The 21,998-nt window shown below is 56.3% G+C and overlaps 1 protein-coding gene across 11 annotated transcripts in view, besides 16 other annotated features; it reads right to left on the bottom strand.

Moving 5' to 3' along the window:
• ZMIZ1 (zinc finger MIZ-type containing 1) overlaps positions 1 to 20,815 on the bottom strand; it is a 247,554-nt gene extending 226,739 nt beyond the window's left edge. For all 11 annotated transcript variants that reach the window (XM_047425538.1, XM_047425539.1, XM_005269988.4 and 8 more), the window contains exon 1: positions 20,511 to 20,815. The gene's annotated coding sequence lies outside the window, so the exon portion shown is untranslated. The remainder of the gene's footprint in view (positions 1 to 20,510) is intronic.
• Positions 91 to 1,077: an enhancer, noted in NCBI's record as "H3K27ac-H3K4me1 hESC enhancer chr10:80848461-80849447 (GRCh37/hg19 assembly coordinates)". NCBI's record gives its function as "activates a minimal SCP1, AML or CMV promoter by ChIP-STARR-seq in primed H9 embryonic stem cells {active_cell/tissue: H9 hESC(primed)}" and the evidence as "EXISTENCE:reporter gene assay evidence [ECO:0000049][PMID:30033119]".
• Positions 1,078 to 2,064: an enhancer, noted in NCBI's record as "H3K27ac-H3K4me1 hESC enhancer chr10:80847474-80848460 (GRCh37/hg19 assembly coordinates)". NCBI's record gives its function as "activates a minimal SCP1, AML or CMV promoter by ChIP-STARR-seq in primed H9 embryonic stem cells {active_cell/tissue: H9 hESC(primed)}" and the evidence as "EXISTENCE:reporter gene assay evidence [ECO:0000049][PMID:30033119]".
• Positions 4,446 to 4,515: a silencer, noted in NCBI's record as "silent region_2528". NCBI's record gives its function as "represses an Ori minimal core promoter by ATAC-STARR-seq in GM12878 lymphoblastoid cells {active_cell/tissue: GM12878}" and the evidence as "EXISTENCE:reporter gene assay evidence [ECO:0000049][PMID:35858748]".
• Positions 4,862 to 5,431: an enhancer, noted in NCBI's record as "H3K27ac-H3K4me1 hESC enhancer chr10:80844107-80844676 (GRCh37/hg19 assembly coordinates)". NCBI's record gives its function as "activates a minimal SCP1, AML or CMV promoter by ChIP-STARR-seq in naive H9 embryonic stem cells {active_cell/tissue: H9 hESC(naive)}" and the evidence as "EXISTENCE:reporter gene assay evidence [ECO:0000049][PMID:30033119]".
• Positions 4,862 to 6,003: a biological region, named in NCBI's record as "hESC enhancers GRCh37_chr10:80843535-80844106 and GRCh37_chr10:80844107-80844676". NCBI's record gives its function as "regulatory_interactions: PPIF".
• Positions 5,136 to 5,636: a transcriptional cis regulatory region, noted in NCBI's record as "chr10:80843902-80844402 region (GRCh37/hg19 assembly coordinates) targeted for CRISPR interference". NCBI's record gives its function as "negatively regulates PPIF gene expression in LPS-stimulated THP-1 monocytic cells {active_cell/tissue: THP-1(+LPS for 4hr)}" and the evidence as "EXISTENCE:mutant phenotype evidence [ECO:0000015][PMID:33828297]".
• Positions 5,240 to 5,359: an enhancer, noted in NCBI's record as "active region_3624". NCBI's record gives its function as "activates an Ori minimal core promoter by ATAC-STARR-seq in GM12878 lymphoblastoid cells {active_cell/tissue: GM12878}" and the evidence as "EXISTENCE:reporter gene assay evidence [ECO:0000049][PMID:35858748]".
• Positions 5,432 to 6,003: an enhancer, noted in NCBI's record as "H3K27ac hESC enhancer chr10:80843535-80844106 (GRCh37/hg19 assembly coordinates)". NCBI's record gives its function as "activates a minimal SCP1, AML or CMV promoter by ChIP-STARR-seq in naive H9 embryonic stem cells {active_cell/tissue: H9 hESC(naive)}" and the evidence as "EXISTENCE:reporter gene assay evidence [ECO:0000049][PMID:30033119]".
• Positions 9,188 to 9,697: an enhancer, noted in NCBI's record as "H3K27ac-H3K4me1 hESC enhancer chr10:80839841-80840350 (GRCh37/hg19 assembly coordinates)". NCBI's record gives its function as "activates a minimal SCP1, AML or CMV promoter by ChIP-STARR-seq in primed H9 embryonic stem cells {active_cell/tissue: H9 hESC(primed)}" and the evidence as "EXISTENCE:reporter gene assay evidence [ECO:0000049][PMID:30033119]".
• Positions 16,996 to 17,499: an enhancer, noted in NCBI's record as "H3K4me1 hESC enhancer chr10:80832039-80832542 (GRCh37/hg19 assembly coordinates)". NCBI's record gives its function as "activates a minimal SCP1, AML or CMV promoter by ChIP-STARR-seq in naive H9 embryonic stem cells {active_cell/tissue: H9 hESC(naive)}" and the evidence as "EXISTENCE:reporter gene assay evidence [ECO:0000049][PMID:30033119]".
• Positions 19,805 to 19,854: an enhancer, noted in NCBI's record as "active region_3623". NCBI's record gives its function as "activates an Ori minimal core promoter by ATAC-STARR-seq in GM12878 lymphoblastoid cells {active_cell/tissue: GM12878}" and the evidence as "EXISTENCE:reporter gene assay evidence [ECO:0000049][PMID:35858748]".
• Positions 20,055 to 21,034: a silencer, noted in NCBI's record as "silent region_2527". NCBI's record gives its function as "represses an Ori minimal core promoter by ATAC-STARR-seq in GM12878 lymphoblastoid cells {active_cell/tissue: GM12878}" and the evidence as "EXISTENCE:reporter gene assay evidence [ECO:0000049][PMID:35858748]".
• Positions 20,055 to 21,901: a biological region, named in NCBI's record as "H3K27ac-H3K4me1 hESC enhancer GRCh37_chr10:80827637-80828482". NCBI's record gives its function as "regulatory_interactions: PPIF".
• Positions 20,497 to 21,182: a transcriptional cis regulatory region, noted in NCBI's record as "chr10:80828356-80829041 region (GRCh37/hg19 assembly coordinates) targeted for CRISPR interference". NCBI's record gives its function as "negatively regulates PPIF gene expression in THP-1 monocytic cells {active_cell/tissue: THP-1}" and the evidence as "EXISTENCE:mutant phenotype evidence [ECO:0000015][PMID:33828297]".
• Positions 21,056 to 21,901: an enhancer, noted in NCBI's record as "H3K27ac-H3K4me1 hESC enhancer chr10:80827637-80828482 (GRCh37/hg19 assembly coordinates)". NCBI's record gives its function as "activates a minimal SCP1, AML or CMV promoter by ChIP-STARR-seq in primed H9 embryonic stem cells {active_cell/tissue: H9 hESC(primed)}" and the evidence as "EXISTENCE:reporter gene assay evidence [ECO:0000049][PMID:30033119]".
• Positions 21,295 to 21,364: a silencer, noted in NCBI's record as "silent region_2526". NCBI's record gives its function as "represses an Ori minimal core promoter by ATAC-STARR-seq in GM12878 lymphoblastoid cells {active_cell/tissue: GM12878}" and the evidence as "EXISTENCE:reporter gene assay evidence [ECO:0000049][PMID:35858748]".

The raw sequence follows: 21,998 nt of genomic DNA, 5'->3' as shown, positions 1-21,998 counted from the left end.
TGGGGAGTGGGAGAGGGACAAAGGAGGTGGTAGGACTGGCCCTGCCCAGGAAGGCTGTCCCAGGTGCGGCCAATAGGGTCTTGCTCATGCTCACGGAGGTGGTGATCTCAGTGGCCCTCGGAACTGACACATCCTCCCTGGGATTTTGTCTTCAGGGAGCATGCAGCAGGCACCTCAAGTGCTCCCTGCACCCAGAACCCCTAATTTCTACCTGACTCCTCTGATCCAACACAGCAGTCCCAGTACCCCTCCGGGTTTTCAGGGCCCAGGGAGAGGGGTCCAGTGCTTCTGTCGGAAGGAGGCAAAGACTTCAATTGTACCAGACCAAAACCAAACTAGAGCAAACCGGAGAAGGCACAAAACACCCTGAGCTGAGTTCATCTCGTAGAAGGAAAGTGAGCCGGATGGATGGGGAGCACCTCGTGTTGTTGATGCCACTCTTCCACAATTTGTGTTTGCACAAGAGCCAAGGGCTTTTTCCTTCACTGATGTGGGGCCCACTTGGCTCCATCTGGGTGGGGAGAAGGATCTGACATGCGGAGGCTCCGGCCGTGGACCACGGAGAACCTCTCCTCCATGGGAATGAACCCCACCAGTTGCTTCGGGCTCTGAGGCTACGTGTCCACCTCCCCAAGTGTGGCACCAGCCCAGGTACCTGCTCAGCGCTGTCCTGTCGGAGGGGCAGGGGCAGACAACCATGTCCACAGGATACTCGTTTGTACAAACAGCCACGGACCAGAAAAGAAAAATCAAGCTGTGGCCTCACGTAGGGAGTAGAAGACCTGATTCCCTGAGCAGCTGTGGAGGCTGAACAAGTTCAGCACTCTGAACTCCAGCTTCCTCCTCTGCAAAATGGGATAATACCACCCACTTCAGAGGGGTGCTGCGACAGTCTCCAGACCCCAAAGTACCATGCCTGGTGCAGGAAGGATGTTCCCAAGGATGTGAGCTTTGCCTGGGGGAGCAAGGACTGAAATGCATTTGCAGTGGGGACCGCTAAATGGAAGCTCTGGTCTCAGACCTGGCTTAGGAAACGCACCTGCTCACAGCCCACCCACCTTCCCCAAGTCCCAGAAAGCAGCCAGCATTGCAGCAGATAAAAGATCTCAGAGTCGGAACAGTAGTCCTGGCCCAGGGACCCCTAAGCCTCCTTGCAGCCTCTGCTTAAAGCCTGTAGGGGCCGAGTCCCAGGGAAGGTTGGTGAAGGTTCCCATGTGTCCCTCTCTGTCACCCTCTCACTGGCAACTCCCGGCTCGACAAAATGCTGTCCTGCACCTTTAACCGAAAGAACCCAGGGCCGTGCCTAGGCAGGCCTGAACACCCATGTTTACCCAGCAGAAGGGTGGCCCTCCCCCAGCACCATGGCAAGCTGGAGCTCATTTGCCCACAGACTCGCCTGGTGCACAGGCAGTGCATATGAGGCCCCAGCCCCTGGCCCTGCCCAGGGAGTTTTGCCCAAGAAGCCTTGTGGCCTGGCCCAGGCTGCTGTTGCCGAGCCAATTCTCCCAGGAAGCCAAGCCTGGGCAGCGGCAATGCAGGCACAGCAAGCTCACAGGTATCCTCAGACCCAGTAGCTTTGGGCAAAACAACCTGACCCACAAAGCGCTCCTGGGAGCCTGGCATGGCCCAGCCATCTCTCTGGCTTTGGCTGGCAGGGGAAAGGGCAAAAGAAGGGGCCAGGGGTCAGACCATGCACATGGTCCACATCACAAAGCCGACCAGCTCTGGGAAAGGGTAGCCACCATGTGTTATTCAACTTGCAGGGAGCGCACTGGAATGTTTGCTAGATCCAAGCTGGTGCTGCTGGGTGACAGGGAGCCAGAGCCTGGTGGTGGCTGTGGTATTCTAAAGGTAGCTGCGATCCTGCCAAGCAAGGGCTGCAACACTGGTCAGGAAACAGTGCCTGGGGAACCGGGGCAAGGGGAGGACCAATCCGCTTGACCTAGCTGGTGCATGAGGGCAAGCTGAGGCTTGGGCAGAGTTTGCAGGATGCCTAGGAGTTCTCCAGGCAGACAGAGCAGAGAGGAACACAACGTGCAAAGCACACACAAGTGAAAGTTCATCTGGGGCCAGAGAATGAAGGGCACTGAATTTCAGATTGTAGATCGTAGAGAGGCACGAAGGAGTTTTAAGTAGAGTGGAAGAGGTGATAGATCAGGGGTGCCTTTTATTCAGGTTCACACTGGTAGCCAAGTGAAGGGGCGATGGAAAAGGGGAAGCTGGAGGTAGACACCTGAGGGAGAAGGTTGCTGCCTGGGGATGTAGACAGGAGAGGTGGCTGGAGAAACATCCAGAAGGTGGAGTCCAAAGACATCAGTTCCCTGACTACATACTCCCATAAGCCATGCTCTGGGCAGGGGAATGGGGACATGGACACCCAATGTCACGGGGTACAGCCCTGGGGAAGGAGTCAAAATGACTTCCCAATTTCAGCCAGGACCATGGGACAATGTCAGCCTACTCCTAATCCAAGGTGGCTTTATGAGAATTAGAACCAGGCTCCCCTTCCTCCAACACTTTACCATCACCTGCCAAAAAATCATCTAATACATGTATAATGTGAGGGGACTAAAATGTGAGTACCACCCCCAACTTGTGCAGTGCGCAACATGCGCTACCACACACAGCTGTCCTAGGAGACACAATGCCAGTGAACAAGCAATGGGAAGGTGGAGGGTTAGAGGCCTGGGGTTAAGGCAGGTAGGAAAGGCAGATAAAATCTAGTCTAACACACTAAGAAGTTAAAAACACTTAACAAAACAAAGAACAACCAAAGCAGTGTTTACTAACCCTCCCTGCCTTTTTGGCATGAGAAATTCAAATAAAAGGAGAGGCAGAATTATTTGCTATATGGAGTCCAAAAGAGAAAAAAATAGTTGCACAGACCAGGTAAATAAAAGAAATGCAAAAATGCAATTCAGGAAACCCTAGTTTTAAAAGAAAGAGATTGGCCAAAGGTATAGAGAATCAGTCCTGGACACAGAGCTTCCAAAAAGATTATCTTTAAAAAAAATAAAAATAAAAAAATAAAAAATAAATAACAAAAGATCCTACCAGCCTAGGTAACAAAGCAAGACCTCGTCTTTACAAAAAAAATTTTTTTCAATTAGCCGGGGTGATGGCTCGTGCCGGTAGTCCCAGCAGGAGGCAGAGGTGGGAGGATCGCTTGAGTCCAGGAGTTCGAGACTGCAGTAAGCCATGATCACACCACTGTACTCCAGCCTGGGTGACAGACTGAGACCCAGTTTCTACAAAATAAAATGAAGTAATAAAAATAAAAAGGATTCTATATGCTGAACAAGCAAACATAGCTGAGTAAAATCTGAGAAAAATGGGCTTTCTGGCCAACTGAACTATCTGGATACCTGAGGGCTTTCACTTGATCATTCAAGAACTCATCAGGCTTTACTGGGCACCTTCTCTGCTCCAGGTCTTGTCTGACCTAGCTGGTACCGGGAGGAGGAGAAGGCTGAGGGCTGAGGGAGTCCAGAGGAGAATGCCTAGGAGGTCCCTGGGAGGAGGTAATGACAAAGTTTGCCAGGTAAGGAGGGGCGGGGAGACGCATTCTGTCACTGTCCACACGGTGAAGTGCAAATCCCCGTCAACCATGGCAAGGCCCTTTCTTAACAGAAGTGAGAATTTTGTGAGTTGAGGTGAGACCCACATTACATCCTGGGGGTCTGGAGTAGGGAGCCTCACCTATCCTGGAGGTAAAAATGCTCCAGTAGACTCCAAAGGAGAGTCCCAGCTAGAAGGGGCCTCAATGCACAGAGGGCAGAGAGACAAGGACTCGTCAGGGTCAGGAAGCTGATGAGTGGCAGAGATGGGCAGTGGGTATCCTCTCCCTTACCAGGGCCCTTCCAGTGCCCGGTGCTGCCCCAGGGGTTTCATCCAACTCCAACCCTAGAAAGCCAGGGAGCAGTGGTAGGCGGGAAAGGCACGTTGTGATGGCCACTCAGGTCCCTGGCCACTGGGCACAGCTCAGAAACAGAGGGAGAGGCACTTCTCATTCCCAGAATAAGAGTCTCATTCTGAAAAGGTTTGGGCTTTTGCTTCCTGAAAAAGAGGTTCTCAGGGGCATCTCTTGGGCTGAAGCCTGTTGCCTGCTGCTGGTAATCCTAACAAGCGTGTTTATTGGGCTCTGGAGATCACAAGCTGCCTTCCTCTGTCTCCCCTCCTGGTGGCCATGGGAGGCGGGCACCCTCTGCCCATTTTTCAGATGAGGAGGCAGGCCCAGAGAGCCATGGAAGGCCTCTCATCCCAGGTCACTCTTTCTGGGTCTGGTGCAGGCCAGACGGCACCTGAGTGCCAGGCAGGAGTCAGGGTGGGGCGTTATGCGGGCTGAGGCCTCTGCCCACTCTGCCCAATGGCATGTGCAAATGGCAGGTGGGAACTCAACTGCGGGCCTGGCGTCACGCTGGGCATGTTGGCCCCTTGACCCCCACCCCCAGCTTGAGGAGGCTACATCCGAGCCCTGGTGACTGGTGCTGAGCCCCCAGAACCAGCCTGCCCAGGTGCTGCAGGGTTGCAGAGGAGGGTGCCAGCAGCCAGGCTGTGGTTTTGTGCTTGGCTAACTCTTGGCTTCTGAGCAATGAAGTGGAGAGAGAAGAGACACAGTAAGAACATGGTGCCCACCCACTCAGCCCTGCCACCACAGGCAGCAGGCAGCCTCTGGGGCCACCACAGGACCTGTGGCCCTCAGAGCACAGGCCGGGATCTACATGGCACGGCACCAGAATGCGGAGCGGGCAGCGTCCGGCAGAGCCAAGGGCCCCTGGCAAGCACTAGCTCCTGCCACCTTCAAGGTGAAGAAAGGAGACCCAGGGGCCTGTGCAGGTTCAGGCCAGAGTGAGCCGGCCTGGATTATCCCTACCAACCCACCCTCCTGCTGCCTCATTCCCCCACCCCCACCCCACCACCCTGGAAAGCAGGACTTCCCTCTTTGTGCCTCTGCAAGTCACAAGAATCCCAGTTCAATCATCAACGGCCAGCCCAGCCGCTGACCCTAGGATTCTGGAGTTGCTTGACTCAGGCAGCTATGTTCTTGGAGAGAGGTCAACAAAATAGGGAAACTGAGGCTCAAAGAGGGCAAAGGACCTGCCTGTGTTCATACGGCAGGATTGGAGGCACAAGGATACAGAACGTTAGAGCAGACAGTCAAGCAGTCCCAACACCTGCATCTTATTGATGGGGTAAGCTGAGGCTCAGGGATGGGAAAGAGCCTGTCCGAAGTGACTTTGAATTAATAAGAACCTCAGCATGGCCATCTTGGGTTGATCCCGTGTGGCCAAGATAGAGCTGCCCTCTTTGACCCCAACCTCAAGTTCAGGAAGTTGCAACACTTCCTTGTTTCCATAGTAACCAACTACTGCTCCAGGAATACACTGAAATGTTTTTGTTCCCTCCTCTGTGCTGGCCCTGGGCCAGGCTGTGAGGACACAGAACAGAAAGAGGAGGTGTGAAGGAAGGCACAGACCCAGCCCCACGCAGTTGATCCCTTGCAATAGAGTGTGGGAGGGAGAGGAGTAGAATTTTCAGTGGAGAAGAAATCCTCAGTGCCTGAGAGTGTCAGGGGAGAGAGTTCAAAGATGGCAGCTTTTGAGCTGGGCTCTTAAGGATGGGTAGGAGTTCACCTGACTGAAGAGTGGAGGTGGAGGACTTAGCATATGCAAAGGCCTCGGGATAGAGGATGACTAACATGTTGGGAAACTATGGTGCATAGAGTGGAGTGTATGAACATGCAGGGGATGAATGCCAGGGAATCAGCCAGAGGGGAGGAGAGAGACCAAATGCAGAATATCAGAATTCCAAGGGTAGACAAGGGTATCAGGAAGACCCACTATGCCTCTATTTTTCCAACTGTTAAAAGGCCACCTTATGACAGAGTGGCTGAGGCACAGGAATTGACAAGCACAAAAGGAGAAGGGCTCAGACTCCCAGGACACAGCAACTTGAGCCAGTTCTCTAGCTCAGCCTGTTTCACGGAGGTGGACAGGCATTCCCAGTGGGCTCCTGGCCACAGCCTCAGTCAATCTTTAAAATACATTCAGGATCCGACCTTGTTTCACTACCTCCACTGAACACTCTGGTCCAAGCCGCCAGCATCCTTTCCTGGGTTCCTGTAAATGCTGCCCAGATGGTCTCCTTGTGGCCACCCTTGTCCCTTCAGTCTATTCTCGGCTCATCAGCCAGAGATCTTAGAGGGACACATCTGATAGCCTCAGTCCTTTACTTAAAATCCTTCAGTGGCTTCCAAATCACTGAGCATGAAGTCAGAAGCCCTTCCTGTACTTGATAAGGCTCTCTGTCCCTTATCACCTGGTCCCTGATCACTCTGTTGACTTCCTCCCCACTCTCTCCTTCCCTCACTCCATCTAGCCACACTGGCCTCCCTGCTTTTCCCAGACCACGCCAAACAAGCATCTGCCACAGGGCCTTTGCACATGCTGTTCCCACTGCCTGGAGAGCTCTTCTCCCAAATGTTCATGGAGTTCACTTCCCTGTCTCCCTGAGGTATGTGCTCAAATGCAGCCTCTTCAGAGAAGCCTTCCCTGACCACACCACCTAAAGAAGCCCCATCACCCACTCATGTCCCTATATCACCTTATCCTGGTTTATTTTTCTTCAAAGCACTGATTATAACTCAGGCATGATGTCATGCATTAAGTTGTTGACCTGCTGACTGTCTCGCCTACTAGAATGTAAGCAGGGCCCCTGTCAAATTCACCAATGTATCCCCAGGGCCTGGAAGAGTGCCTGGCACATGGAAGGTGCTTGATAAACTTGACAAAGGAATACATGAATCCACCTTCCTTGGGTAGCTGGGCGAGGGGAGGCACAAAAGGACCCCAGACTCTGCCCTCCCCAGGGCCAGAGTGCTGGGGACTCAAGCCCAGCCAGGAAGCCTTGTTCTCAGGCTGGCACGAGGCCCCACCAGCAGGACCCTCCCAGCCCATTCAGTGCATGGGCTCCCCAGAACTGGAAGTGACGCAGGGCCTGGCAGAGGTCTAGAGGAGCCCTGAGGGAAAAGTAGCAGTTGCTACTCTGCCCATTGTCCCCCATCGTCCTTCACTCCACACAAAGCCTGGGAAGGCCAAGGACAGCCTCGGGCGCAAAGGGTGAAAGTAGGGGGAGACCAAGCCAGTGAGGCTGGGAGGACATGGGATCCTGCCTGCAGCTCTGCAGCTGGATTCCTTCCCTCTCTGGCCTCAGGGCTCTAATCTGGGAAATGGGATGAGAAGGGCATTAAGTAGACTGGCTGCCCAGGTCCCTCCTGCTCCAATAGTTTGGGCATCTTTGGGTCTTAGGGGCCTGGAAGGGATCACACCAGGCTGCATCTCAGACCATAAATTCAAGCCATGGTCTAGGCCACCAAATGAGCCTGATGAGCCAAAAAGCTGGGCGTGGGGTCTCAGGTGGGCTCCTGAGGACCCTGTTGCCACCCAAGGCGGAATGCAAGGCAGCCCCATATAAGCCAGGAAGTGAGAGAAAGTGTCCTGCTATAGGGCAGCGGCCCCCAGGCTGGAGGAGCCAGCTGTCTTACCAAGACCATAGGCACCGAGTGCCTGCCCCCAGGACGAGTGTTTCTGGTGGGCACAGCCAGAGCCGAAAGGCCCAGCCGCTTTGCAAAATGAGGAAGGTGAGTCCCAGGCCAGGCCAGTGCCACTGCCACAGCCATGGAGGCACCTCTCCTGTGCCTTACTCCAGCAAAGGGTTTCTGTGGAGTAACAGGCAGGGCTGGGCACTGGCTAGATGGTGGGAACACCTGGATTTTAGCTCCAGCTCTGCCAGGGACTTGTCGTGTGACCTCGTCCCCTCTGGGGTTTGACTCAGCATCTAAATGAGAAGGTTGGCCTGGATGGTCTCCAGGGCCTTTCTGTGCTGCCATTACCATCATTGCACATGGTAATGAAACATTACACTCCCCGATGCAGTGATACTGGACAGCATGCAACGTGCTGGCCTTCCCCTTGGACTCGTGCGACAGCCCCCAGCGATGCTGGCAGGAGGAGGCCAGAAGTTCTGTCTCTAAATCCAGCGCTCCTTGCACAGAGCCCAGGTCTCAGGGGCCTGTAGACACTTAGGCAAGATGCGCCTAAGTGGCAGGGGGCAGGGCCAGGCAGAGAGGAGCTCAGTAAGGAGCTGGGTGCTGGTCCACAGGGGAGGAAGCACTATTCACAGCCCCTGGCTACCTCCAGTGAGGGGGCTCTGGCTGCAGTGGCAGGCGAGCATGCTGCAAGAGGCTAGGAAGACAGACGGCCTTCTCAGCCTCCTGGAATGTCTGACCCTGCTTGAAAAGCAGAAGCCAGACCACTTTCTTCCCCTAGGGCCCCAGTGAGCCACTGTTGTGGCCTCCCCAGCCTACTGCCACGTCTTACAACCTGGGCTAAGCTATTTTCAGGTCAGGTCTCAGGTCTCCAAGCTGCCCAGACTCTTACCAGAGGCAGAGATAATAAGGCCCAGGGGATATAAGAAGGCCACCTCCCCAGGAAGCCCATTCTGCCTTCTCCAGCCTTAGACTCAGCCCAGAGAGAAGTCTCCGAGGATACAATCTCTGAGGCAGAGAATGGAAGAGACTTCCTGAGGACCAATTCACCACATTCTGCAAGGTCCTGAGAAGAGAACTAGGGGAGAGGTATCCTTCTGGGCTCCATACGATGTGGAACTTTCTAGACAGAGGGAGCTGCTGGGGAGGCAGGGAGCAGCCTGTCCGTGGAGGCATGCAAGCCCACATGGGAAGGTGCTCTATGGGGATAGCGTAGATGGGGCATAAGTCATCCGTATGACAGGCATCAGATGAGATGGGCGCCAAGGTCCCTAATGGTCTTGGGAATCAAAGGTGCCAAGAATACCAGAAATAGGAGCATCCAGAGCCTTCGGGTGGAGCAGAGCTGCCCAGACCCCTCTGGGGAGCTGGCTAGGAGGGAGGCCATCCACAAGGCAGAAGGCGCCAAGACTTCTGAGGCCCATGAGGATTCCAACCCCCAATGCAGACCCACTCCTTCTGCCTAAAGGGGTCAGTCCTGCAGATGAAGCACAAGCAGAAATGCAGATGTCAACCCAGGCCAGGTGGGAGGAATCAGAAGGCCATTCTTTTGCAGGAGATAAACTGACGTCAAACTCACAGCTTCACAGCCCCATCGCCAAACACCAAACAAGAAATCACACCTGAGGCCCGGCGCAGTGACTCACGTCTATAATCCCAGCACTTCGGGAGGCCAAGGCGGGCGGATCACCTGAGGTCAGGAGTTCGAGACCAGCCTGGCCAATATGGCAAAACCCCGTCTCTACTAAAAATACAAAAATCAGCTGGGCATGGTGGTGTGGGCACCTATATTCCCAGCTACTCAGGAGGCTGAGGCAAGAGAATCTCTTGAACCCGGGAGGCAGAGGCTGCAGTGAGCCGAGATCGTGCCACTGAACTCCAGCCTGGGTGACAAAGCAAGACTCAGTCTCAAAAAAAAAAAAAAAAAAAAAAAAGTCACACCCGAGCTTTCTGCTCTTCTCCCAGGATCTGAGGCGCAGGGAGGTTGTGGAGCTCAGGTATGCCGGGCACACAGGGCAGACAGGCGGAGAGCCAAGAAATCCCCTTACTTGCTCCCAACCATCACAAAGCCCACTTCTCAGGATCCCAGGAAGGTGGGGACATGAGGACTGCGAGCAGGGAGGCAGAGTGACTCATGCACAATTACAGAGTGGCCGGCCAGCGGCTCTCTGGAGGCCCCAGGCTGCCTCTCCCCACCAACAGCACAACAACCCCAGCTAAGGACTCCTAACCAGCTTACACCAGCCGGGCAATCTGAAGACACCGTGTGCCCCTCAATATAAGTGCCAGTGGTCCCCACAGCCCCCGAAGAGGAACCATGAACCTGGGCGGGACCCACAAAATGCAGCCTGCAGAGCAGAAGCTGACCTCCTGACCCAGAGGAGGCAACTCCTAAACCAGTCCTGCCCAGCCTTCCTAGAAGAGGGACTGGGCGGGGACTTCCTTCACCCCAGTGCCAGCTCTTTCTGGGACACTGAATCCCAACACCCCTAGTAGGTCTCACAGAGGACAAGATGGGATGGCTTCACAGTGAAGTCAGCTGCTGCAGAAGGCCATGCCTGCCTGCCACTCACTCATCATTCCCTGGACCCCCCCGGCCCCAGTGCCAGGCCCTGTGGCCTTGGTCAAGTCGCTTCACATCCCTTGGTCACAGTTTCCTTGCCAGGAACATGTCAAGCTGGATTAGAAGCAGGAGGTGTGAACATAAATCTATTCACATCTTCAAGAGTCACACGACTGAGGTGGAATGGAAGAGGGGGAGAAAGGCAGCATGACAGTTCCACTCCATTCAACGGCCAGGGACTACAGACCCTTGGACTAAGGCTATAGTTTCGACACTGTTTCCAGGTGTCCACATTGAATTAAGGATCTGAAACAAGGCTTCAGACCACCTCTCCAGGAAAGTGCACGTTTGCAAAGGCTTGACCACAGGTTCTGGGGGCCCACAGCCCCCATGGGTGAAACAAACCCCTTCTGGCTCTGACAGCCAGCAAAACTCTGGGGCCTGTCTCTAGGGACATGGCAGAGGCCCCACCCCTCTGCCCAGTTGGCCTTGCTCTTGGGACTGCCCAACCACAAACAGATTTGTGGTCTGGTAACAAAAAAAGAAAAGACAAGGAGGCCAGCAAAAGTGGGAGGCTGGAGGGTGGGTTAAAAAGAGGTGGAAAGGCCAAGAAAGCAGGCTGAGGGGAAGACTTCTGCCTCTGCAGACACTGTCCCCTCCTCTCCTCTGTGAAAGGCTCCCCTGGAAAGGTGGTTCTTCAGTAGGTAAACCATCCGCTGGATGGAGCTGCAATGCCTGAGCTGAAAGGGACTGTTTACGCGGGCGTTTCCCAAAATGGTCTATTGGTCTTTTCCATAGTTATTTTGCATTAAAAAAAGGGTGGGGCTAGGCATGGTGCTCATGCTTGTAATCCCAGCACTATGGGAGGCAGATGCAGGTGGATTGCTTGAGCCCAGCAGTTCAAGATCAGCCTGGGCAATATGGTGAAACACCATATGCAAAAAAAAAAAAATACAAAAATTAGCTGGGCATGGGTGCGCATGCCTGTAGTCCCAGCTACTCAGGAGGATGTGGTGGGAAAATCACCTGAGCCCAGGAGGCAGAGGTTGCAGTGAGCTGAGATTGCACCACTGCACTCCAAAAAAAAAAAAAAAAAAAAAAGTCGGGGGTGGGTGGTGTCTGTAGTCTGGGGAAAGGCTGAGTGAAGCAAACTATTTACTCTGAGCCATCTCCTCCAGGCAAATAGGTTTGACAATTTCTTGGGGGTGGGGGTGCTCTGCTGCCCTCTCTTTTGCTTTTGGGGACTGGTGGCCCTGAGAAGCCACTTCGGGAAGAGATTATGTTGTTTCGGCTCATGGTCTTCAGATGAGGAAACTGAGGCTCGGAGGGGTGAGTGACTGGCCAGAAGTTCCAGTCAGTTACCATTCATAGTGATTCCACATAATAGGGTACAACTGACAAGCCCAGTCCCTCTGTGGCCTCCTTCCCTTCACACGAGAAGAGTCCAAAAAGTAGGTATTGTTATTATGAGCCTCAGTTTACACATGAAAAAAATAAGCTTCTCAGACAGAAGCCCAGATGCAACACCTCCCTCTCGAACGCCTTTCCAAGGGGAACAAGCTGCCCTAGTAGGTTGAATTACAATGTACTTGGGTTATGACTGACTGGGGGCCTCTCAGAGATGATGGGCCAGCCCTTTGTGCTACACAAGAGTGTGGAAAACGGCAGGGAGTTGGAGATCAGGAAGCCTAGGTGCCAGCAGGCCGCTTTGGTTGGGCTCCAGGCACCACATGACCTGGGCAATCGACTTCACCGTCTCATCTGTAAATCAGAGGTAAGGCAATGGGAATGCTGGTGGTGACCATGACTAGGGCTACCTTTTCTTGAGCACTTACTATGTGCCAGGAAGTTTGCGCACTCCATCTTCTCAACCTATGGAGGAGGTAGTATGTTAGTTATTACTACACCACTAGTAAGCCTGTTTTACAGATGTGGAGACCAAAGTCGGAGAAGTTAAACATTACTTGCCCAAAGTTACAGAGCTCATAAAGAGCAGAGCTGAGGGCTGAACCCAGGCAGTCTGGGAAAAGCATGAAACACATTAGTTGCCCAATAAATGCTGGCTATTATATTTATGGCAGACCTTTGGCAAGTTGTTTTAAGTATGTAAACAACAGCAGGAACACCAAAGCATTTTTCGATGGAACACCATTTTTCGATGGAAAACCCCACCCCTCCCCACCCAGACCACAGAACCCCCCACTCTTAGTGAGACACCCCACTGTATGACCCCCAGCCAATCCCACCACCTCTCTGGGCTTTGGGTTTCCCCATGTGGAAAATAAGAAGGTTGGACAGAGACCCTATAAGGTCGCGTCCCACTTGCACACACCAGGAAAGGGTTTCAGGACTCTTCCCAGAGGTCTCTGTGCCCTGCTGATCCTTGGCTAGGTCGCTGAGTGGTTAGAGCTGTGCACTGTGCTTCCCAGCGGCGGTCAAGGTCCACCGGGGAGTAGGGGTAGGAGTTTGGGTGGGACCCCTGTGGACAGGGCAAGGTCCAGGCACCTGGCATCTCCTCCTTTGTCCTGAGCCTAGCTGGCTCTTCCTAGTGTGCTCTCACCTAGGCTGACAAAGGTGACTCTCAGCAGGTGACTCCTAGGGTGGGGTGAGAAGGCCACCTCCCTGCTTCCCCATACACAGAGGAAGTGAAGGCAGGACCAAGTCAGTGGGTCATTTGCTCTGCAAAGGACAAAGGTCAGCTCCTGGAGGGCTGGCTGGAGGGGAGAGGGGAGGTATGGGAAGCTACCATCCTCTTGGCTTAAACAGGTCCCGGCAGATGAGAAACCTTGTACCCTCCCTAGATGGTTTCTGTTTTGTTTTATTTATTTATTTTTTTAGGCAGAGTCCTGCTCTGTCATCCAGGCTGGAGTGCAGTGGTGCAATCTTGGCTCACTGCAACCTCCACCTCATGGGTTCAAGTGTTTCTCATGCCTCAACCTCTCGAGTAGCTGGGACTACAAGCGTGCACCACCATCATGCCGAGATAATTTTTGTATCTTTAGCAGAGATGCGGTTTCACTACTTTGACCAGGCTGGTGTCAAACTCCTGACCTCATGATCCACCTGCCTAGGCCTCCCAGAGTGCTGAGATTACAGGCATGAGCCACTGTGCCCGGCCCTGTTTTACTTCTCTCAAATTCACAATGCAACCACCCTGTAAAGACACATGCTGCTGGGCAGGGGCTCTAATGCCAGACCAGGAGTGTTCCACACTCCCCTGGCTGCAGAGGATCTGGGAGTCTGGGAATGCCACTGAAAACTCCCCATCCTTCGTCCTCACCCTGAGCACTCAGAAGTGAACCCCACCCCCAAGGTTCAGCTGGGCCTCTCATCAGACCCGAAGAGCATTTATTAATGAGCTCAAGAGTGGCTAAGGGGGGCTGTGCCAGGCCAACAGCACACACTCAATACATGTTTCATGAGCTAATGGACTGGCGGAGATGGGGTTCCAGGCCCAGATCGGTCACCCATTCGCTGCTGACCTTGGATGAGACCAAGTGTTTCTTTCCATGGTTCAGTTTCCTGGGCTAGGAAAGGAAAGGCCAGACCAGGTAACGCAACCAGTTCCCACTAATTTTATGCTACAAGCTTAGGAATTCAAACCCCAGAGTCAGAGAGGTTCACAGTGGAAGGGGCTTTCCAGATCTTTCCCCGAAGCTCCCGAGCTAAGAGGAGGGCAGCACAGGACCTAAGTGGGAAGATCCAAGGCACACCGTCCCCATCCTCCCTGCCAGTCATCCCCTGCGGATTGGGAAGTGAGAATGGGGTGCGGGGAGAGAGGACAGATCTCCATTTAAGCCAGACACCAAAACAGAACTTTCGAAGAAAGAGCTGGGGAAAGTACAGTGTATGTATTTTAACACACACCCCCATCAGAACAGCTTGGCCATTTCCTGATCTGCATTGAATCAGAGGCTCCAAGAGGGCAAGTATCTGGCTAAGAGTGGTGGGGGAGGACGGAGAGAGCTCTCAGGTCTCAGGACCCTGGGCCAGGCAGCCGGAGTCCTGGCAGAAGCCCTGGCCAGCAGGGCCAGTGTGTGCATGTGTGTGCAGGTGTGCATGCGTTTGCATGTGTGCAGGTGTGCATGTGTGCATGTGTGTGCATGTGTGTGCAGCTGTGTGCAGGTGTGCACACACACAGGGCTGGGGGAATATAAGACAGGTAACTGCCAACTGGGGAACAAGCTTGGGGACAAATGAAGCCCCCCAAGCCCTATCTCTAGGGGCAGAAGTCTCTGGAGGGTTCACTAGTCCCTGGAAATTCCAGACTTTCCCTGAAGTGCCTAGGGACAAATATCCCAAAGTCAGACCACTAGTCTTTGATGCTCCACTGCTACCAGCCATCAAGGTCCTGAGCCAGTCTCTGTCCCTCTGTGGGCCTAAGTTTCCCCATCTGAACAGTGAAGGGTTTGAGCTGGGTGATCTCAAAGGGCTATGTCCACTCTGACAGTCTGCGATACTCAGTTTCTACAGAAAAACACGACACCCACCATCACTCAAGCCCCCATCCTCAAGACCTAAGAAGGCAGTCCCCAGGCCCTCAGCTGGCTGTCTAGGGGTGGAGCTGGGGCTGGGGCAGAGCACAGTCCCCCCACCGTCTGTCCTCAACAGCCTGCCACAGCCGAAACCTTCAAGTGGTTACAATTACAGCCAGACTAACAGGATTAGGGGAGCATTGAAATCTAAGAAATCTAATTAGCTCAGACACCCCAGCCTCCCCCAGCACAATCCTGCAGTAACTCCGGCAGCTGGGCCTGACAGGCAGGGCCTGGGGCCCTCCCAAGCCACAGTCATTACCTGCACAGGTGTGCCAGGCTGGGCCAGGCTTCCTGGGGAGGTGCCAGCTCAGCCTGCCCGGCTGCTCCCTGGCCTGAACCCCACTAGCTACAGCCTTGTCCTAGGGTGGCACTCAGCTGAGCTACAGAAAACCAGGCCCAAGGGTGGAGGCTGCAAGGGGCAGAAAGAACCTAAGGTCTCACACGGAGTGGGTGCCCCACATAGCCTGGGGACTGACTCAGCCCGAAGAGGGACTACAGAAACCATAGGAACCCAAGGAAGAGCACTGGGCTTCATGGGGACCCGGGGGGCTGGAAACACCTCTGCCTCCTACTCCAGAGCCGGAGAAGGGCATGAAGCCCCATGTATAGACCTGTGTGCCCTGGGCAGTCAAGGCAGGATTTGTGTCTCGAAGCAAGCTCTGGCTGTAAGACACTGTGCCAAAAGAAAGGGACACAGCTACTGGGGGCATGGACCATGTGCTGCCATATGGGAGGGGGAAGACAGGTGAGGCCCATCTGTGACCCTTCCTGAGAATGGCTCCTCCTTCACCTCATTCCCCCAGCACCCAGTTTTGGAGCCTATCCTGACTCTGCACCGTGTCCGAGCCTGGCTGGAGCGCTCACTCAGTGGACTGGAAAGGAGGCAGCGCAGGGGTTGGTATCGGTAAGGCCTGAGGTTCAGTCCTAACTTTGCCACCAGTTGTTTGACCGCTCTGAACCTTGGTTTTCTGCTCTGTTAAATGGGGATAATTCCAAATAGTAACTAGCTTACACTGTTGTTATTGGGGATAAACAAAGATGGAAAAAGCTTCTAAATCCACCAAGTACCATACAAAGGAGAGGGGCTGTGGTTATTACTGTCATCACGCGCCCGTGGCAGGCAGCCAGCTGGTAGCGGTTAATTATTTATTTGGACTGATCTTCCTGCCGGCACTGGACTGTGGGCTCCTGAGGAACAGGAACTGTCTTCCACAGTTCTGGTCTCTCCCAGGACACAGTCTTTATCCACAGGGTGGACACTCACAGTCAACACCTGTGGCACCCATGCCGGGCCCGACCCAACCCCAGCCCTCATCACGCACCCCCTTCCTTCTCATACCCCGCTCCAAGGAAAGTGCCCAGAGGCAAACCTGGCACACAAAGGCAGATGACAGTGAGCACCCCCAGGCAGACCCTTCCCCCTTCTGCACCCCCCACAACAGGTCATTCCCAATAAGGGCTAGAAGCAGCCACTTGAATGTGTCCCCCTACCTAGGGGCCTGCCTAGGCACTGGTCTTGAACCCAGGATCATTCAGGAAAGAACGAGTCTATGGTCTGGAGGGCCCCCCAGCATCTCAAGCCCAGAGTGGGGTCAGGAGGTGTGGATTTGCAGAAGGCATGTAGCAGAACATGTTAACACTCACAACTGCCCACTGAAGGCAGAGGCTTCCAGGAGGTAATGAGTACCCTGTCCTGTGGGGGGCATGCAAGCCAAGACTGGACAATCAGCTGCCAGGGAAGTAGGTCTGGATGAGAGCAGCTTCAGCAAAATGCTTCTAGCACTTGCAATCTAAACCCTTTGTGTTCTACCCATTCTGTACCCAGAGCCTCCCAGGCCTTCAAGGGACACATGCCTAGGGGACTCATGCCCACATCTGCCTCATTCTCCCAGCAACCAAGTGGGATCGGAGGAGTTCTGCCCTCAGACCCATTTTACAGATCAGGAGACTAAGGTCCAGCACAGGAGAGTTACTGGCCCAACACAGATAGCAAGCAACAGCCTCCTGACACCTTGGTCCTCTCGCCCATCTCCTCCGGTAATAGGGAGACCCTCTCAATCATGATGGGGTCTAGCCTCTCCCCAGAGCCTATGCCTAGGACTGCTTTTCTCAGCCTTCTCCCTTCATCCTCTCTAAAGGCAGGGCCCAACCTCAGAACGCCCCGGAGCTTACAGCCAGGTGGATTGCTGCCTCCCCATCCTGAGGGACTCTTAAGGACAAAGAGCACTCCCCCAAAGGGCATGAGCAGAGAGCACTATATCCTGCTAAGAGGTCAGAGCTGTCGCCAGGCAAGGCTGCAGCAGTGTCCTGGGTAATCGTGGCAGCCTGGCCTTTGTTGTCCACACAAAATCTAAGGAGCCTCATAAAGACCAGGCAGCAGTGACAGGGGCTGGGCCAGGGCCCTGGGGAGCAAAGTTATGAATGAAAATGTAGAGGACCCAGCCACGAACCAGCAGGCCCTGCTTCCTGGTCCCACGACCAAGTGCCTACAGAAGCTTCTGGAAATTAATTGGTTGGTGCCTGAATTTCTTACAACAATGCCTCACCCTGAGGCCAGGGTCATGGCCACTCGTTGGACCCTCAGGGTCAGTGGCTTTATACGCAGGTATTCTTGTGACAAAACTCTCAGGATGCAGCAGGCCTCAAAGTGCCTTCCTTCCTAAATCCCTTCACCCCTCCCGCCATCAGGAAGAAACAGGAAAAAAAGTGAAGTCTGCAGCTCTTCTCAGTTGGGTCCTTGCCCCTGCAATTTTCTGGAATGAGTCAAGCATGGACACCTGTCCTATGTTGGAGGCATATCTATGGGGGCCAGGGATGGAGACATCGTTGTTATTGTGGCTAGGGAAGTGAGTGTGCGTGCGCGCGTGCGTGAGGGAGAAACTGGTTCTGTCGCCAAACCCCGCAGTCTCTGGACCTTTCTTCATTTTGCCCCTGGCTGTGAGAGGAACAAGAACCCTCCTCCCCCCTTTGCTTAGGAGGGAAAAGGGACATTTTGTCCCCACAAAGAAGCCAGCAACCCTTTTCTGCATAGACAAGGCTATTTATTCATAAGTCCAGCAATTTCTTATTCCCAACTCTTCTCAGTAAGCCCTACCCAAAATGCCAAATCCACCTCTTGAATCCACTCCCTACTGCTCCCTTCTCCTCCCCCCACCCAGCCCCCACCCCCAGTCACTGCCACCAACTCTCAGAAGTCTAAACTTTTGAGATTTACATGTGAAAACAGCGTTTCAAAACCTCGTGATTTGGGACAAGGAGACGCTTCTGTCCTTTGGGGGAAAACAAAACCCAACCGAAAATCATAAAGCTCAGAAGAAAACACCATCTCCCTCCAAATGCATTCCCTGGGCCCCCAACTCACACGTGCTCTGTAGCAGATAGGGCTTTCAATGTGTCTTTTGTTTGATGCTGATGTTTCAACATCCTCGACTTGAAGAGGGAAAGGTCAGCCCAAGGCTTGGGGTATTCACAAACCCACCCGGCCCCTGCACTGGGGCCAGGAGCCAGCAAGTGAGGGGCCAGGAATTTCCCCCACTCTGGACCCCCTCACAAAGCAGCCGGGGCTGAGAAGGCTAAGAAAGAGCTTGCTCTCTCATCTCAACTTCCCCGATAGCTCAACAGCAGCTTCACACTCCCGGGACCGTACAAGCGCCAGCGAACGCAGGCTGGAATTCACCAGCGCCAAGCTGCCCGGCTCTCCAGCCCCGGCGCCTGCCTCTTTATCTGTACCTTCAAAAACAGTAATAAGCAAACCCAGGCACCTCTGGGAACAGCCTCTGGCCTCCTGCCCTGCCCTGTGTAACCAGCCTGTCCTCACACCCACCAGGGAGGAGGAGTCGGCACTGGTTAACCCTCTGGTCTACCAGGCCCGGTTCCCAGGTTGCAGCAGGGAGACAAACTGTTGCTCAAGAAAATCCTTCAGAAAACCCTTGGCACCAGGAGGCAGCTCGGAGCGGCTCTGCACCCGGCGCGGAGCCAGGGGCTTCCACAGGCGGCCGCCCACTGCCCTTTTAAATCTTTGGGGCTGGGCCCTACTCTCCCATGCCCTGGGCTGTCCACCCAGAGGGCTCCAAATGTCCGTGGCAGAGCAGAGAGGAGGGAAAGGCTGGCCGAGCCGTGCCCTCACCCCGCCAGCCCAGCCGCCAGCTTCTTGGAGGACCTCTGAGAGAACATTTGTTTGGGCTGCCAAGTTAAATCTTCCTCCCTCATGTCAGGGCATTGGAAAAGCAGTCAGGGGAGAGGAGAAGGGGGAGAGCGCGCGGGGGAAGGAGCAGCGGGAGGGAGGGAGGGAGGGAGGCAGGCGGGCAGGCTCAAAGCCCCAGTTACTCGGGCACTGCCTACCCAGGAAGCTGACGGCTCCCGGGCAGGCGCAGCCGGGGCTCCGGGCACCGAAGCAGGGACCCGGCCGTCAGGCCTCCCCGGTCAGGCAAGGGTACCAAGCACCCTTGGCCCACCTGGGAGCGGCCCTCGCTCTGTGACCTGCTGGAGGGACGAGGTGGGAAGGGAAGGCAGAGAAGGAAAAAGTTTGCTGCAGGTAGAGGGGTAGGGCTGGGCGGCAGTGCCGACCGGCTGTCCCCGGGGAGGGGTGGGGGGCCCGGACCGGCTGCCCTGGCGCGCTCCCGTCCGCCCGCCCTCCCGCCCGGGTTGTTTACATTCCTGGAGTGTCTTTTAAACCCGGGGCTGAGGCCGGCTCCCGGCCTTCTCCGGCGGCTCCGGGGCAGTCTCCCGTGAAAATCTGCTGGCGCACAATGGCCGGGAAGGCGGCCGCCCCTCGCCCGCGCCCCCACCGCTCCAGGGCGGGGAGCCTGCCCTCCGCACCGCGCCCTATCCCCGCCCGGCCGGCTTCCTGGACAGATGTCCCCAGCGAGGGGGCGACGCGCGCCCGCTGCCCGCGCCCTAGACGCCGAGGCCGCGCTCCCCACTGTTTTTTCCCCAGCCCAGACGCCAGGAATGTGAAGCAAGCTTCCAGAACCCGCCTCCCCCCCCCGACCCCGGCTCCAGCCCCGGCCCCCCAACCTCCGCCCCGGCTGGCCTCCCACTCCCCCGGGGCCACCGCCGCCGGAGACGGAGAGGAAGAAAGAACACGGGGAAATTACTTTCGTATTTGCAACGCGCGCGCGCACACACACGCACATCTTCCCCCTGGGCTCCCCTCCTGGCCGGGGCAGCCCCGTCCAGGCACTGGCCTGAGCGCCCCTCTGGCTTGCGAAGCCCTGGGAGAAAACCCTGCACACACACCTCCGCGTTTCTCGTTTGTACCGCGCGCCAGCTTTCCCCGGGCAATTCCCACACAAACAACTTAACCGCGCCCCCACCTCCCATTTACAAAAGTGTATGTTTTCCCTGGAAATTCAGACGCACAAGTTAACACCACCACCCCTTGCCATCCTGAAATCCAGCGCTTTCCCCAGCGGTTCCTGTACACACACAGGCGCACAACTTCGCATCTCCCCAGAGGAGGCGAAGGAGACCGAGGCGGTCCTTCCCTCCCTCCTCCGATTCCCGGTCCTGCCCGGCCCCCGGGTGTAGGGAGCGAGGGCTGGAGGCGCGCCGGCAGGAGGCGGGCACCGGGTCCGCGCGCGCACGACCACACTTACGCCCCGCACACCCTGACAAACCCGGCCCCCACGCGCAGCCCAAGCCGGCTCCGCGCAGCCGGGAGCTCGCCGGCCGCCGGGCCTCGGCCCCCGGCCGCCAAGGAGAGCGGAGCGGAGCCCGCGCCGCCGGCCGGTCGCCCCGCTCCGGGGGACACTTTAAGGGAAAAACCCCAGCACCCAATCCCCACGCTTGCACCCCGAGAGTCCCCGGGGAGCGGGAGGTAGCCCCGGAGCCAGCGGGCGCCTGGCTCTGGCCCCAAACTTACCGGGCGCTGCGAGCGCCGCTGCCGCCGCTGGAGGACGCGCCGCCGCCACCGCCGGGTAGGGCAGGCTCGGGCCGGGAGGAGCGCAGCGAGGGCGCCGAGATCCGCTCGGCTCCGGCTCCTGCTCCGCGCCGGCTGGGGCTGGGGTCACCGCGCTGCGCCGGCGTTGCTCGCTCGCTCGGCCGCCCGATCGCTGCTCGCCCGCCTGCCGCCCGGCCGCCCGCTCTCCCCGGCGCCCGCCGCCGCCGCTCGCTTTTTTAATGTCCACAGACAGTGAAAAGGAACTCGGCGTTAGGGGGTGAGTAAGTGAATCAACTCGCCCGGAGCCGAGCAAGTTGAAGTGTCAGATTACATTGGCTATTCTATTTCCAAAGGGCCCCGCGCCGCCGGCCGCCCGCAAAAGCCGGTGCGGAGTCAGGCCGGAGTGGAGCGCCGCGCCGCGCCGCCGCCGCTGCCGGCGCTCGGCTTGGCTCGCGCTCTGCGCTCTCTTTCCCCTTTCCTTTTCGCCTCTCCTCGTTCTCTCCCTCGCCTTTCCTTTCCTTTCTCTTCCTCTCTTCCTCGCTCCTCGGTCTCGGCGCTCTCCCAGCTTTTCTTCTCCTGGCTCCTGGTTCCCCGCTACGCCACCAGTCCACTCACCTCTCTCCTTGCCCTACTCCCTCCGCTACTCCCTGACGCCCCCTGCAGCCCCCAGCCCCCCTGCAGGCCCCAGCCCCAGTAAGTTTGGAGAGGGGAACAAATGCTGAGCCTAGGTAGGGACCACCTTGGGGAGGAAGCCAAAATCACACTGCTCACCCGAGAGCCCCTGCCCCGCGCTGGCACGCCCCCGCCTGGAGTGCACTCGTGGCCCCGGGCGCTGTCAGGTACCCGAATTGGGGTAAGCGAGTTGGTAACTGGACCTCCAAAGCCTTCCCCTGGGGTTGACTTTGGAATTGTTCCTACAGCCCGGGGACTGGTGGTTGGGGTGGGAAGAGGACCACCACCACCAAGGGTGACTTTGAGGGAGACTAGAGCGCGGCCCCCCGACAGCTGTGGGGGAGCGGGGGTGTGGTGGCCACAGTTGATCCGCGGCACCTAGCACAGTCCAGAGACGCGTGGATTCCCCTAGGCCCGGCGCGGAGCGCCCGGGGCGCTGTGCGCGCGGGCTGCGTGGGAGCTGCTAGGCTGGGGCCTGGCCCTCTGCCCCGGACTGGGCACTGCCAGAGATAGCGGAGAGCTAAGGTACTCACGAGGCGCAGTTGGGTGCACCCACTCGCGGGAGTTCCCCTAGCCGACCCACCCCCCCCCCCCGAGAGCATCCAACTACGCGCCCACTTTGGCTCACGTCCACTGCCACTCTCACGGAAACTCCTACAAGAACGGCACACACGTTCGCTCCCTCAGCATTGCAAACACGCTCCCCCCCAAACCACAAACGCGCCCCCACACACTCGCTTACTTTCCCTCACAAAGATGCCCGCTTACACGGCCACAGCAGGCACGCTCAGAGACACG

This window comes from Homo sapiens, chromosome 10, assembly GCF_000001405.40.
Source record: "Homo sapiens chromosome 10, GRCh38.p14 Primary Assembly".
In the NCBI taxonomy this organism is placed as follows: Eukaryota; Metazoa; Chordata; class Mammalia; order Primates; family Hominidae; genus Homo; species Homo sapiens.
This window is presented reverse-complemented; position numbering and strand designations above follow the sequence as displayed.